General features: G+C 35.8%; 1 annotated feature.

Annotated features, from left to right (window-relative positions):
• Positions 667–1,203: an enhancer, noted in NCBI's record as "OCT4-NANOG hESC enhancer chr13:55574112-55574648 (GRCh37/hg19 assembly coordinates)". NCBI's record gives its function as "activates a minimal SCP1, AML or CMV promoter by ChIP-STARR-seq in naive and primed H9 embryonic stem cells {active_cell/tissue: H9 hESC(naive and primed)}" and the evidence as "EXISTENCE:reporter gene assay evidence [ECO:0000049][PMID:30033119]".

The following is a 14,460-nucleotide window of genomic DNA, read 5'->3' as shown; positions in this document are numbered from 1 at the left end:
CACAGGATATGCAAGGGGTGTGGCTCACCTGCTTGGTCACCCTACAGCTCAAACCCTTAGTAGGATCATGCAGATGGGCAGGTGCAGAGGCTGGTGCAAGTGCTTTTGGGCTCCGGCCCCGTGGCGGGGACTAGGGGTAGGTGTCTGTTACACCCAAAGCCCACTGTGATACAGTGTTCCCTTAGGCTGTAAACATCTAGAGGCTAGTAATAACTTACCTCCTGGGAATACAGCCCAGCAAGTCCCAGCCTCATTTTTCCTAGCCCTCGCTCAAGATGGAGTCTCTTTGGTTCAAATGCCTCTGACAATATGAAACACACAGAAGAGAGCTATCCTCTACTAAAAAGTAAAATCATAGCATTAATATTTTCAGTAATAAATGAGAAAATAATCATGAACCTTAACATATTAGAAATTGAATCCAAAAATTAAAAGTAAATTTTAAATATGCATGAAAAAGGAAAAGAATAAATTAAAGTAATAACTAAAGAAAGAAATAAACATAGGATAACTTTAATGTTAAAAATAGAGAAGTAACAAAATTAAGAAAATTTGTCAAATACAATCAAAAAGGAGTTAAAAAGCAAATATCAAAATCATTAAAGAAAGGTAATAATAGAGTGACAATGAAAATTGAAAAAAAGGTATGTACAATAAGGAAATTAAAATAATTTACCCCACAATATATACTTCTTTGACATATTTTGAGATGGGTTTTCAGATAGGCAGAAAACAGAAGTAGTCATGCAGAACTGTCTTTTGTGGGGGAGATAAGCATTTGTAAGAGAATATTTGCATTTGATGTAGCTAGAATTTCTCTGAAGGTCTTTCCTTGTCTGATTCAGGAAGGATTAACTGAGTCTGACACCTCTGAAGGTCTGAAAGACACATTTACCATCTGTTCTCTTGAGGGCTGCTACCTGTGAGGTTCATTTAAATAACAAATCACCTTTATTAGCCAGGCCTCCTTTGCTCTCCCTCCCATTACCTGTCTCGCCACCATAACCCGCTTTAACCACCATAACCTACTTGTGACCATGCTCTGAATCCTCATCCTTTGTGTAGCTCCAAAAATGGCATATAAGTTTCTGTACCGCATTGGGAAGTTGGGGGAATCACTCTGTGGTTCTCACTTATGTTCACATTAATAAATTTTGCGTCTTTTCTCCATTAATCTGCCTTTTGTCAGTTGATTCTTCAGTGAACTTTCAGAGTGTTAAGGAAAAACTTTCCCTTGGCCCCTGTAACATCTTCACATTTTAAAATTTAAAATATTCATTACAAGAAAAATTATTGAAGAGTTAAAAGATTATACTACCCCCAAAGAGTATACATATTAACTAATTCATTCCTATTAACTGGTGACTCACTATGGAGCACAGGGAGATAAAAGAGGCAGTGAAGCTCAATTAGTTGGGTTCCCCAGAAGTAAAGGCTTTGAATGGGATTCATTTAAAAGTGATTTATTGAGGGCATGCCCACAGGAGAGTCCTATGAGAAAGGGAAAAAAGCAGGACTGAGTGGGGGGAAAAGATATGCAAAATTTGATTTCAGTTGAAGTCTCAACTTGATCCCGTGGGGAGCTGCATTTGTGAATGGCATCTTAGAGTTACTTCCACTTGATGTAAGAGGACCGGCCTTCTGTATGCAAGTAATTGGCTGTGATACAGTGTCTGGGAAGGCTATAGCATCCCATGAATTTCTACATCAGATTGTGCCCAATAGTACTGGGAAATTCTCCAGCCACAAGTGCAGCTGTGAGCTCTCAGAAGCTAATACTCATACCAGCCGAGGAATATGGGAACCTGCAAAGCAAATGGGGTCTGAGTAGGTACCAACAGCATCTATTTCTAGCCTGTGCTAATGAAACTGCCTTTACAAAATTATGACATTAAGAGAAATCTGACAGAGTTGACTCCATCTTGCTCCTAACCTCTAGGCTGTCTTTGGTCATTCCTGGGCATATGCCAAGCTTACTTTGGGAGGAATTTAGTTTCTAGTTTAACTTTAAAGCAGTGATGATAATAGTCCTTCCCAAAACTAAACTGCCTTTGTAAAAGTAATGAAAATCATTCTGCCTATGTAGGCGTAGTAAAACAATAATCAGCCAACCCATTCGGGAAGTCGCAAGATTTCTAACTTCTCTAATTATTCCTGTAGATAACATCACTATTTTAGAACATAAGATTGGACTTCTGAGATGTCTTTTCAGAATTTTGCATTTCTGGCAACTGGCTGACTCCACCTAGACCTATGACCTGTGACTCAACCAATCCTGTTGACCCTGCCCAGAGGTTGATGCAGCACATGAGGACCATTTTCCACACCCCTAAAATTTCATCCCCAACAAATTAACATTTCCCATTCCCAAGCCCCTGCACAACAAATAATCCTTGAAAAGCCCTAACCTCCAACATTCGGGGGGATATTGATTTGAGTAATCACTCCGTCTCCTGCATGGCTAGCCTCACATCAATTAAACTCTCTTTACTTCAATGCCGCAGTCTCAGTGAATTGATTTCATCTGCGTAGTGGGCACAAAGAACCCTTCAGTTGATTACACTGAAAGAGTTTCTGTTAACAGGGTTTTTATTAAGCACCTATTTTAAAGTATAAGGATAATCAGAAAAAAAGTTTTCCCAAATTTCAAAACTTAAAAAACAAATGTCATTTCGAACAATATATTTTCACTTTTACGTAAGGTCAGGCATGTTTTACTTTAGAGTCAGAAGGGAGGGTAACTGAAGAAAGAATTATCTGTGCTTTAGAGAGAAAGTGAGGATGAGAAATTCTGGGGACAAAAGAGATAGATTGAAAAGCTAAAGCAATTTATATAATTGTAGAATCAGTGATTACAAATGAGTAGAGTGAAGGTTCTAATTATGAAAAAATGAAAGAATATTAAACTAAAGAGCTTTAGAAATGATAGGCCAACAACAATGTCTCGTCACTGTTTGAGATACAATCAAATACTCTCAGTTTATCTATACAGAGGATAAACTTATTCTCATTTACTTAGGTCAATAAAAGTATTGACTACTATGATGGAAAGGAAAATTGACATTATGCTGCATGAAAGAAGCCTTACACAAGAGTATGTGCTATAATATGAAACTTTAAAACAAACAAAATTAATATATGGTAGTGTAGGGAAGGATAAATATTTTCTATCTTCTATACCTTTTAGTAGGGACAGACTCCTGTAATGAAAGACAGATTAACAAAAGAAAAACAAAGAGAAGTTTTATAACGTGCATTCTTCCTGTATATATGGGAGGTAGCCAGAGAAATGAGTAAATCTCTACAGGAGATCTCAGAGAAGTGGCTTTGACCTCAGGCTTAAATACTATCATTCTCTGAGGCAAAGAAAGTAGGGTGTGGAAAAAGCTCTACTTAAGGCAAAATGGCCAGTAAGAGCATTGTGTTACAAGAGTAAGGTTTGTCTTGCACATTTACACCTTTAATTTAGGATTTAAAATACCTTCTGCATTGATTAAAACTGTCTAGTAATTTAGTCATCCTTATCTTTGTGGTGCAGAGAAGGAAATACCCTTACAAATGGAGATTTATTTTATAGGTTTAAATTTCTCTTACAAAAGGGTAACTTTCCGGAGCGTCTTATGTATCTGTATTTCTTAAAATAACCAATTCAAAAGAATGCTTATGCCAAAAAGACATATTTTGGGCTAGCAAATTCCGTTCTTCAAAATATGAGCAGTCATATTTTAGGATAATGAGTCCTAAACCCCATCAGTGAAAAAAAAAAAAAAACAGTTCATGGTTTCATATGGTGAGATGGAGACACAATGTTACTAGAAAAGGTCATGGACAATCATTCTGGGATGATAGTAATGCTGTGTGTTCCATACAGGTGTTTGGATTATATAGGTTACATGCACTATCTGGTTATACATTTGTCAAAACTCAGCATATGCTTATAAAATTTGTCTATATTTCATTGTATACAAAATAGAATAGTGAACTCTGGTTAATGATACGTATAACAAAAGATTTAGGAGGAAGTATACTGATACCTAAACAATTTTCTATAAAAATCAAAAAATAAGATTGTGTAATGATAAAAGAATGGATAGAGGGAAGTTCTGTGATTGAACAAGTATAATGAAATGTTTAAGGTAGAGTCATGGTACTGGGTATATGAGTCTTTATTGTCAAATTCTCAACATTTTGGTATGGTGGGAAATATCCATAAATAAATGTTGTGAAAGATGGTTGAAAATAATTGAAAGAGTCATTTTAAACTTATAACGGGCGTGTTAGTCCTAGATTAATTTCATATTCTGATGTAATGTTCAGAAGAGATAAATGGTCACTCATTCTTACAGCACATTTTCTCTCTAACAAGAGATGCTCATTATAACAGTAAAGGATTTTTTTAAAAATCAGGACTCACCTATATTAAATCTTTTTAATGTTTTGGATCATTACTGAAGAAGAGATGTATATTTAATCCTCAAGTTTTCTAGCAACTTGAACAATGGGATTTGTGTACCTTAACTTATGTTTTTAACCACAGACTACAGAACACAGAACATAGACCACAGAACAATACGACATGCTGAATTTGGCAATTGTGAAATGCACAAACCAGAAGCTGGTTTCATATACTTTATTAGTGTTATCAAAACACCAGAGATTTGGTCTTGGTGCTGCTGCTCACCACAGAGAAAGCCAATCACTGAGATGACAAGTATTGCCAAGGAAGAAGGCTTTAATTGGGTGCATCAGCCGAGAAGATAGGAGCTCAGTCTCAAATCCATGTCCTAACTGACTAAAACCAGGGGTTTATATAGCAGGCAAGAAATTTAACAATGTATAAGAAAATAGGAACCTGGGAGGGGCAAAAAAGCAATCATGGTAAATGAGGAATCCAGCATCTGTTGTGGACCTGGTTTCAGTTCTTTGATACTTTTCGTGAGAGGCCTAAAGATCCTTCCCTGAGGAAGGAACTCAGATAAAGCAAATACAACTTTCAAGCTTTTTAAGAGCAGAAGGGCCAACTTCTGTGTTTATCCCAAAACAACTGTCTATGGGACTCTTGGGCCAGTTTCATTAAGAAATAATTAAGTTTCAGAATTGGCTTCCTACCATTTCTACTGTCCTAGGAGTTAGACATACTCCAAATATTAGGAGACATGTTGTAGTGAAAAAGCTGATGTAAATTCCCTTCTCATTGGAGAGAAAGGTTCATTGAACTTTTAAACTGTCATGTTAATTTTCTAATCATTGGTTTATTCATCTGTAAAATATAATTCTCAGTTCTTAACTTGCATGGTCATATAAGTTGGCAAATTAGATGGATAATCATAAAAATTAGATAAAAACATACTATTTATTTTCAATATGTTTACTTAGTTTTCTATTCTATTAAGTTAAAACAATAAAATACAGAAATAATTATTTAACACAATGGTAATTAAGACATACTTTCAAAAATTTGCATGGACATTTCTATCCAAAGATTTGAGGACTAAGGTTTCACACTATTGTCTATTATGGCAGAAAGTGTGGTTGCTTTCAGGAAATGGAGACACATTTTCTGAAAATCTAAGCCCATCTGAAAAATTACCATACCAATACTTTGAAACGAACAGAAAATTGTCCAAATGACAATCTCACCACTCCAAATTAATATCTTAATCTTGACAAATTATGAATATCATCATGACCTACACCATATCTCTCTGCTAAAATTTCTATAAAGAGAGAATTTATAGCACACACAGACACACACACACTCACACACACACACCAAGCACAAAGAAACAATAAACAAATGTAATAAAACATAATAGAAAAAAACACATATATCTGTCCTCAAAAGACATTTTTAATGCAGCTGATATGAGTTTTTTTCTGTTTACCAAGGCAAATTAAAGCATTTTTAAAAGAAGAGACATAAGTAAAAATTTGTCAGCACACCTGTCTCTATTTTAGGGCAAAAACCCAAAGGTAAGAACACACTCTGCTAAGCAATAAGAAAATACCTATTTGTATAGTGTGAAAGTAATATAATTTGGTTACAGACTCCTGCTACTTATCTTTTCCTAATAACAACACAAGTCAAAACTCTCAGCAATATATTTCTCTCTCTTGTAAGTAATATGCAGTAAGACCAATCTAAATTTAGAGTTATTTTTGTACGTTTACTAATTAAGGAAGATAAATAATTACAAATGGTATAATTAACATACATAACAACATAAAAATTGCCTTTTTGCTAGATTAAAAGGAGTAAACATAAGGCCACTGCTAGCTTTAATGGCTAGTCAGTTATTCCTATTTACAGAATGAGCACAATGAGCACACTCATGACTCTCAGCAGTGGGTCCATGCTTATTTTACAAGGATTTTTTTTCTTTTATCACAGCCAACTTTGTAGTTTCCAAAATTTTGTAAAAGTCCTTTAACAAATATATCTAATATAACGTACAATAATAAAGAATAAACATTTTCAAAATTATTCATAAAATATGAAAGGACTCATGACAAAAATTAAAATTGTAATAAAACATTAAAAATGAGAGGTTTTGTTGTTGTTCCTATTGTCTTTTTTTTTTTCCCCTCACCTATCATTTCCTGGCTGCATCTACTTCTTCACCACAATCCTTTTGCTGATAAAGAGCTTTTATATGTGGATTCATTTTCCTGTTATTTCATTGCTCCCCCCACCCCCACTATCAATTTGGCTCTAGTTGTCTCAGCCAACAAACTTTAACTTTTAAGAAATTATTTTTCATTTTTAATAATCTTTACTAATATTCTGCTTCAGTAATTCATTCTAATAGGCACTTCAGAAACTTGGCATCAATTACATCTGTCAGACATTTACAACTTTAAAATCTAACACTTCAATTTCCTCATATTCATGTTCTTTTTTTCCCTCATTCTTACTCCTTTTATGTTTGTTTGCTTGTTTTAATTGAGGGCTCAATTTCCTTTATCTTTCTATGTCCTCTTGGTCTACCCACATACCCCTGGGACTTTTTTTTTCTATTTTAGATCTAAAACCTATGGTCTACTACTTTAAGAACCCTCTTTCTGGGACCTTTAATTATCTTCATTTTTTTTCCCAGACATATTCCAAAATTACAAAATTTTAAATCTATTCAAATGACAATTTTCTTCCATTTTTAAGTTTATGTTATTAAGTATTGCAAAATAAAAATATAAACATTGTCATGACTTGAAACCCATTGTTTCTAAACTCAACCAGAATGTCAAAGATGTTTATTAATTCATTTTCTTATACATGGACATTTATTTCTCTCTCTGCCCACATCTGTCACCTTAGGTTCTAAACCTCACCACTTTCTCTTTTTCTTCTCAGCAAATAAAATAATTAAGCAAGAACTCCTGTTACCGAAACACCAGGGATTAGGTCTAGTGCCTCCTGTTTGCCACACCAAATTCCAATCACTGAGAATATGAGTATTGCCAAGAAAGAAGGCTTTAATCAGGTGCTACAGCTGAGAATATGGGAGATCATTATCAAATCCATCTTCCTGACTGACTAAAATTACGGGTTTATATAGCAGAAAAGAAATGTAACCATGTGTGGTAAAACAGGAATTAGGGAGGGGTAAGGAAGAAGATTTGGTTAACAGGAAGCAGGTGGTTGATTAGGTAGTCATAATGGGTGAGGGGTTTGGAGTCTTATTGTCCAAATGCAGTGATCTGGTTCATTGCAGCTCCTTGATACTATCTGGAAGGCATGAAGGTTGGTTTCCCAAGAAGGGAACTCAGATGAGACAAATATAACTTTCTCAGATTTGAAGAGGAGGAGGGCCAATTTCCATGTTTATTCAAAGAAAGCATAAACATCAGCTCTATAGGACAACTGGGTCAGTTTCACTTCCACTCCCCATCTTACTGCCAGCTAATAAATCACTATCTGCATTTATTCTTCCTTTCCCTTCCTGTCATATTGAAAGAAGTATTCTCCTCAATCCAAGCATAACCCTACAACCTACACCATGAATACATCCGTCATTCCTCATCTGAGACCCAGAGGGAACACTTCTCTTCTCATGTTAACTTTAGCATCTCAATCTGTCTTGACTTCTATGACGTTGCCACCTTCTGGCTTTCAGCCTTTCTCTTTGGTCTCTTTCTGCTATTTCATAGTTGTTTTTCTACCTTTTGAATTTTAAGCTTTCTAAAATTAGAAATTAAATATATCTTGCTAAAATATCAGATTAAACTATCAGATGACTGTAGTTGGAAACACCTTTGTAACACATAAACCCACATGCAACATACTTCTTAAACATATAAAACAGTGATAACACACATGGCATGATTGATAATACTCTGGCAAGAAAGATTCATCAGAATTTAATTAAATTTTAAATTGCAAAGAACGACATCATAGAAATAATGGGAAAGAAGAAATTTAAACATTTAAATTATAATAACAAATGTCTATTAAAGACTGATACAAGGTGAGCCAAACATTAAAAACAAAGAATATGAGAGATGGCATATAAAATAACAGAAAGTTGCCACCAAACATTCTCTTTACTGCTGTTTTAAATGATCACATCTACTAAAATAATTGGTGGAGAGGGGGTGAAATTTATATGATTAACTCTGGATGCTGTGTACATAAGTCACAGACCTAAAATTAAAAACCCTATGTCGACATTACACAGTGTTATGTTCACTATAATTAACGTTGTAAAGAATAATTATATCATGGCCTGAGATAGAGCTGTAAGATTGTACATGTGTAATGAGGAAAAAGTACAATTATTCTGTAACACAAAAATTATTCAATATCAACTATTCAACTGAGCCCCAATTAAAGGAGTCTATTGTACTCTTAACTTCTTACTTTATCAAATTAATTCTAGGAAATGAACACTAAATATAAGGATCTGTGAATCTTTGCCAACAGTACATTCTGGAAAAACCTTCAAAAATTGTTATTGTTATTGAGCACTTTTGATACTGAAATTAGTATGTTGAAACATACAGAGGTAGTTTGACTAAAGAGTAAAGGCTGACTTGAAATTAAGCCATTGCTTATAATTTACATTTTTTTTGGCCACAGAAACTTCAGTAATTGTCCAGTAACCCACTTCATAAATATCTGCCTCTTCAATGCATAATTTTCTTCTATGCTATAAAGACAAAGTGAATATAGAATAACTAATAAAATCCCTTACTTCTTCTGACCCCTACTAAGAGTATCTAATTGGATTTTTCTCTTTAATTCCTTTTCACAAGGTGTGAGATAGTCAGTTTTCACTTGCTCAGCATGAGCATCTCTGTTTCTAATCTTGCATCTAAGAGACAATGGATCATTAGCTAATGACTATAGTTGACTGTGATATTCACTATAGAACAATGTAGGAAAATGAGGCTAATGACTACAAACAGAAAATGATAAAAAGACTATATCCTTAATAAATATACAGTACAAAACACTTAGAAGAATGAAGTTATGTAGATTCAAGTAGTATAAACATGCATGAAACAGCCTTATTAATATTAATAGTCAATGAAAAGTTGACATATAAAACCAACATGGATTAAGTCATATTCAGAAGAGAGGATTTCAAGAAAACATTCAAAGCATGAATTCATTTAAAAAATAGGCCCTTTAAAGTATATGCATACTTAAAAGTCAAAATGAGGAAATAAAAATGAATATGTTTCGCTGTTTTTTAGAGGTTAGAGTTCTTGAACTTTGTATTTGGATGATTACATATAATTTGATATAAACTGGTGGAAAAACAGTTCCTTTTGAGAACTTCTCCAAAATATACATGCACGCAATTCAATAAGGGAAGCAGATGAAACAATCAGGTCCCTGCTTTATGTCGAAGTGACTAGTGTGATTCAGGAATATGAACTGTATTTTTTTTTTTTTTTTTTTGAGACGGAGTCTCGCTCTGTAGCCCAGGCTGGAGTGCAGTGGCGGGATCTCGGCTCACTGCAAGCTCCGCCTCCCGGGTTCACACCATTCTCCTGCCTCAGCCTCCCAAGTAGCTGGGACTACAGGCGCCCGCCACTACGCCCGACTAATTTTTTGTATTTTTAGTAGAGACGGGGTTTCACCGTTTTAGCCGGGATGGTCTCGATCTCCTGACCTCGTGATCCGCCCGCCTCGGCCTCCCAAAGTGCTGGGATTACAGGCGTGAGCCACCGCGCCCGGCCGAACTGTATTTTTTTTTTAAGCACAGAGGGAGCTTGTTCATATGAATGTTATTCAATCTTGTGAGACTTCTTTTTCACTTTTTTTCTATTATTTATGTACTTCCTTTACTCAGACACTATTAGAAAGTGTATTTTGTATATTTGCTATTCCTTGTTGCAATGTGTAACTTTGAGATTCTATCACAAATCTGGTGGGTATAACTCTCCTGCAGTCATGCTTTGTGTGTCTGTGTTAGTGTTTTAAATCTTATTTGGCATCCTAAGGCACTTTTCTTTGTTTGTATTCTTAACTGCTCACATTCACACATATATTGCTTTTCATCTACATGAAACTTGACAGTTATAGTGAACTGGTATACACAGTATGAAAATTGAAGAAAACCCAATGTAGCTTATCTACACTCATAATTGAGACTTATTTATATGCCTTGCCATATTAAGAAAAAAATAATTTTATATCTAGAACATGGTATATACCTTACTTACTTGCTCCACGGAGGACCCATGGTAGGAACAAGGGACAAATAATTTTAAATATCAGATTTACAAGAGAATCTAAAGATGGTGAATCAAATTTTGCTTATTTTGGCAATGAGAAAATAGACCCTTCTGAATTCTTAAATGCAGACATTGCAAATGAGAAGATCCTGTTGGAATGCCACCTAATTTACTCTGAACTACAAGCATATAGTATAGTAAAACCAATTAGAATAGGTAAATAGATAAAAAGAAAAGATACAAAGATAGATATATAGGCCTGGTGCGGTGGCTCATGCCTATAACCCCAGCTCTTTGGGAGGCTGAGGCAGGCAGATCACTTGAGGTCAGAAGTTCGAGACCATCCTGATCAACATGGCGAAACTCCGTCTCTACCAAAAATACAAAAATTAGCCAGGCATGGTGGCACGTGACTGTAATCCCAGCTACTCTGGAGGCTGAGGCACCTGGGAGGCAGAGGTTGCAGTGAGTTGAGATCATGCCCCCTGTACTCCAGCCTGGGTGACAGAGTGAAACTCTGTCAAAAAAAAAGAAGATAGATATATAGATGATAGATAGATAGATACATAGATGGATACATAGAGACAAACAGCATATAAATATCGAGTTTGTTCTCTCTAATTTTGAATGAAGCATGCACATCAATATTGAATAAAATAAAATATCAATATTGACTAGCATGGGGTTCTTGGAAAAGAAGATTAACCAAAATTGATTACTGACTCCAGCCTCTTCTATCCACATTGTGGGTATGAAAGAGCATGGATAAAGAGAGAAGTTATGCTTCAAGTATTTCTCTGGGGAGCGCTGTGTTGCAAGGGCCTACACTCTAGTGGAACAAAGTGGCATAACTTTCTCGTAACTCAGGAGAAGAAAAAAGTTTGATAAATCTTTGCTGCATTCAGAAGGACTCAGCAGATTTGTTTCTGCCTCTCACCTGGGAAATCTAGAGAGACAGGAAACAAGAGATACGGAGTGGCTACTTGATTTGGCAGCTGAGCGGAGAAGAATGCTGTTGTTGAAAATGGCTCACTCCTAGAGTATGAATATCTCTTATAAATCAAATTGTATTTTAAACACCAGACAAGCCCCGAGAATACAAAGCCAGCTTATGCAGTATAAGGCGACAACTTTTCTGTTTCCCTAAACTCACCTCCGTCCAGCCATTTAATATTACTGTGGTCAAGGACCTTAGCTAAATTTAAAACAGAGGTGAAAATATAAGGGAGACATAACACCACTGTGTCCTGCCAGAGGCCAGCAAGCAGCAAGTTGCGAAAGAGAAAGGGAAGATCTCATTTTATATCAGGTGTGATGTTTAGATTAGTTTGAGAACTAGAAAACAACTAGAAGCACGTAATCACTGAATTGAAAAGGTTTTTTTTTTTTTTCCATGTAACTATAAGACCTTTTATAATAAAAGTAAGCCAAAAAGCATAGGAATGCTTTTGGAGGAATGCTTTTTGGAGTTCTCAGCAGAGCATAGAGGTGGTACTTTATCGTTGAACAAATTTTTAAAAGACAATGGAAGAGAAAAGATGCTTTCTGATTATATCCATGAATGCTGGTTTCTCAAGGCATGGCATACAAACCGTTTGTACTTTCAACAACAAAAATGTAAAGATATGAATGTTTGGAGGATATAAAATTTGAAGGAGTCCATTAGACTCAAGTGTGTAGTGAAAGAACATTGTTTTATAGCTCAAATTTTATCTCCAACTCAGCCTTAGTTCTCTAAATGGTGGACAACATATTTGAGTCAATTTAATGTGCTTTCTCACTGCAAATTCAGGATACGTAATTCAGTCTTTTAAAAGTAAATAGTGATTTCACAATTCTTTCTCCTTTTTCTGCCTTTCTCACTGGGCTGATTTCTGTTCCCAGGGATTGAAGAGAGAGTTGGTGGGTTCTAGTTGGCTTTTGATGAGGTATAGCTCACTTTATCTCATCTTTGGGTGTCTGCCCCTTGGCATTTCCAGTGACCAGCTTTGAAAATTTTGTGTTCATTTCTTTAGTGTTACAAGTCCCCTTCAGGACTGTGAGTTCACTAGTTCACTCCCAGTCAATCTCCACACCACATTCTAGGAGATGCAGGGATTCTTTGAGTACGCCCCTCTCCATGCCAGGGTCACATAGAGTAGGGATTGCAAGGACAGCTCTTTGGGCCCCCTGCCCACCTTCCAGTACTATCCTACAGTGTGAACAAGATATTTTTGAAAGGAGGTATCCATAGCTTTTGCTTTGGTTTGAATATATAATGAGACAGCCAAGTAAAAAGGACCCCCTGGAGAACCTCCAATCTGGCCTGCACACTGGGAGAATGGGGTGGAGCCACAGAAGTTTGTCCTGTTTGCAGAGGGGAGGAGCCTGGTCTCTTGAGTTCCTGTGCGGTGGGTCAGGAGCTGGTTAACAGGCTTCCCCCTCACTCTGCTGAAAGTTTTTCTCTTTTTCCTTTTTTGCCCAATAAGTTTTGTTTTTCCCACCCTTCTATGTGTCCGAGAGCCTACTCTTTCCTGGTCATGTGACAAAAATCTGGTTTTTAGTTGAACTCAGGAGAAAGTCCTGCAACAAAATGTCCCTCCAAAGTTCATACTTTGGATACCCAATGTGCTTGTAGTAAGAGGTGAGGTCTTTAGTGATGTGATTCAGTCATGATGGCTCCACCCTCATTAATGAATTAGTCCTTTTATGAAAGAGATTGAAGGGAGTGCCAAAGTGCCTTTTGCCCTTCAACCATGTTAGGACACAGCAACAAGGAGCTATTCTGGAAGCAGAGCGCAGCCCTTACTAGATCCTAAATCTGCTGGCAGTTTGAGTTGGACTTCTCAGCCCCCAGAACTGTGAGAAATAAATTTCTGTTCTTTACAAATTACCAAGTTTAAGGTATTTTGTAATAGCAGGGCAAATAAACTAAGACAGCTTTCATCTGCAAGTTCTAGGTAGAAAGCTGGACACAGGCCTCTAAACTATCTAGGTTCTCCTTGCATAAAACCTGAGGTTTCATTCCAAGAATGGGATAAAATAAAAAGCTTTATTATTATGTGATGACAATAAGGACACTCTAGGTATTATTTAACTGCTTCTCATCAAACACAAATATGAAATACATGGAAATAATTTCTGAATAATAGATAACATGAAATTATTATATTTTAAAATAGCAAAATAGTAAAAAGTCTTGCAAGTCATGTGATATTTGAACATATATTATTTTGTGTAATGGAAGTATGGCATCAAGGAATTTAAACTGTGCTACACACCATAATAGATGTATAAATTCATTGATATACACACGTATAGTATTACTTTAGGATAATATGCCTTACTGAGTTATCATTTCTTTCTGCCTACAGGTAGGAAGCCCTAAGATGATTCACAAGTCCTAAGATGTATGTGTATATACACATACACACATACATATATCACAAACATCATATATGTATGAAAGTGATTTGCCATTATGACAGTCACCAATGAAATTGATCAAATTTAATAAAACTAAAACTCCGTCACTCAGATATAAACAATTAGCCTGGGTACCATAGTGAGACCCTGTCTTTACAAAAAATAAAAAAATTAGCCAGATACAGTGGTGCACGCCTATAGTCCCAGATACTTAGGAAGCAAAGGTGTAAGGTTTGCTCAAGCCCAGGATATCAAGGCTGCAGAGAGCCATGATCAGGCCAATGCACTCCAGCCTGTCCAACAGAGTGAAATCCTGTCTCAAAAATATATATATACAAATAATTGAAATATTACAGTAAAAACAAGAAAAAA

The sequence above is a fragment of the Homo sapiens genome, chromosome 13, assembly GCF_000001405.40.
Source record: "Homo sapiens chromosome 13, GRCh38.p14 Primary Assembly".
Classification (NCBI taxonomy): domain Eukaryota; kingdom Metazoa; phylum Chordata; class Mammalia; order Primates; family Hominidae; genus Homo; species Homo sapiens.
This window is presented reverse-complemented; position numbering and strand designations above follow the sequence as displayed.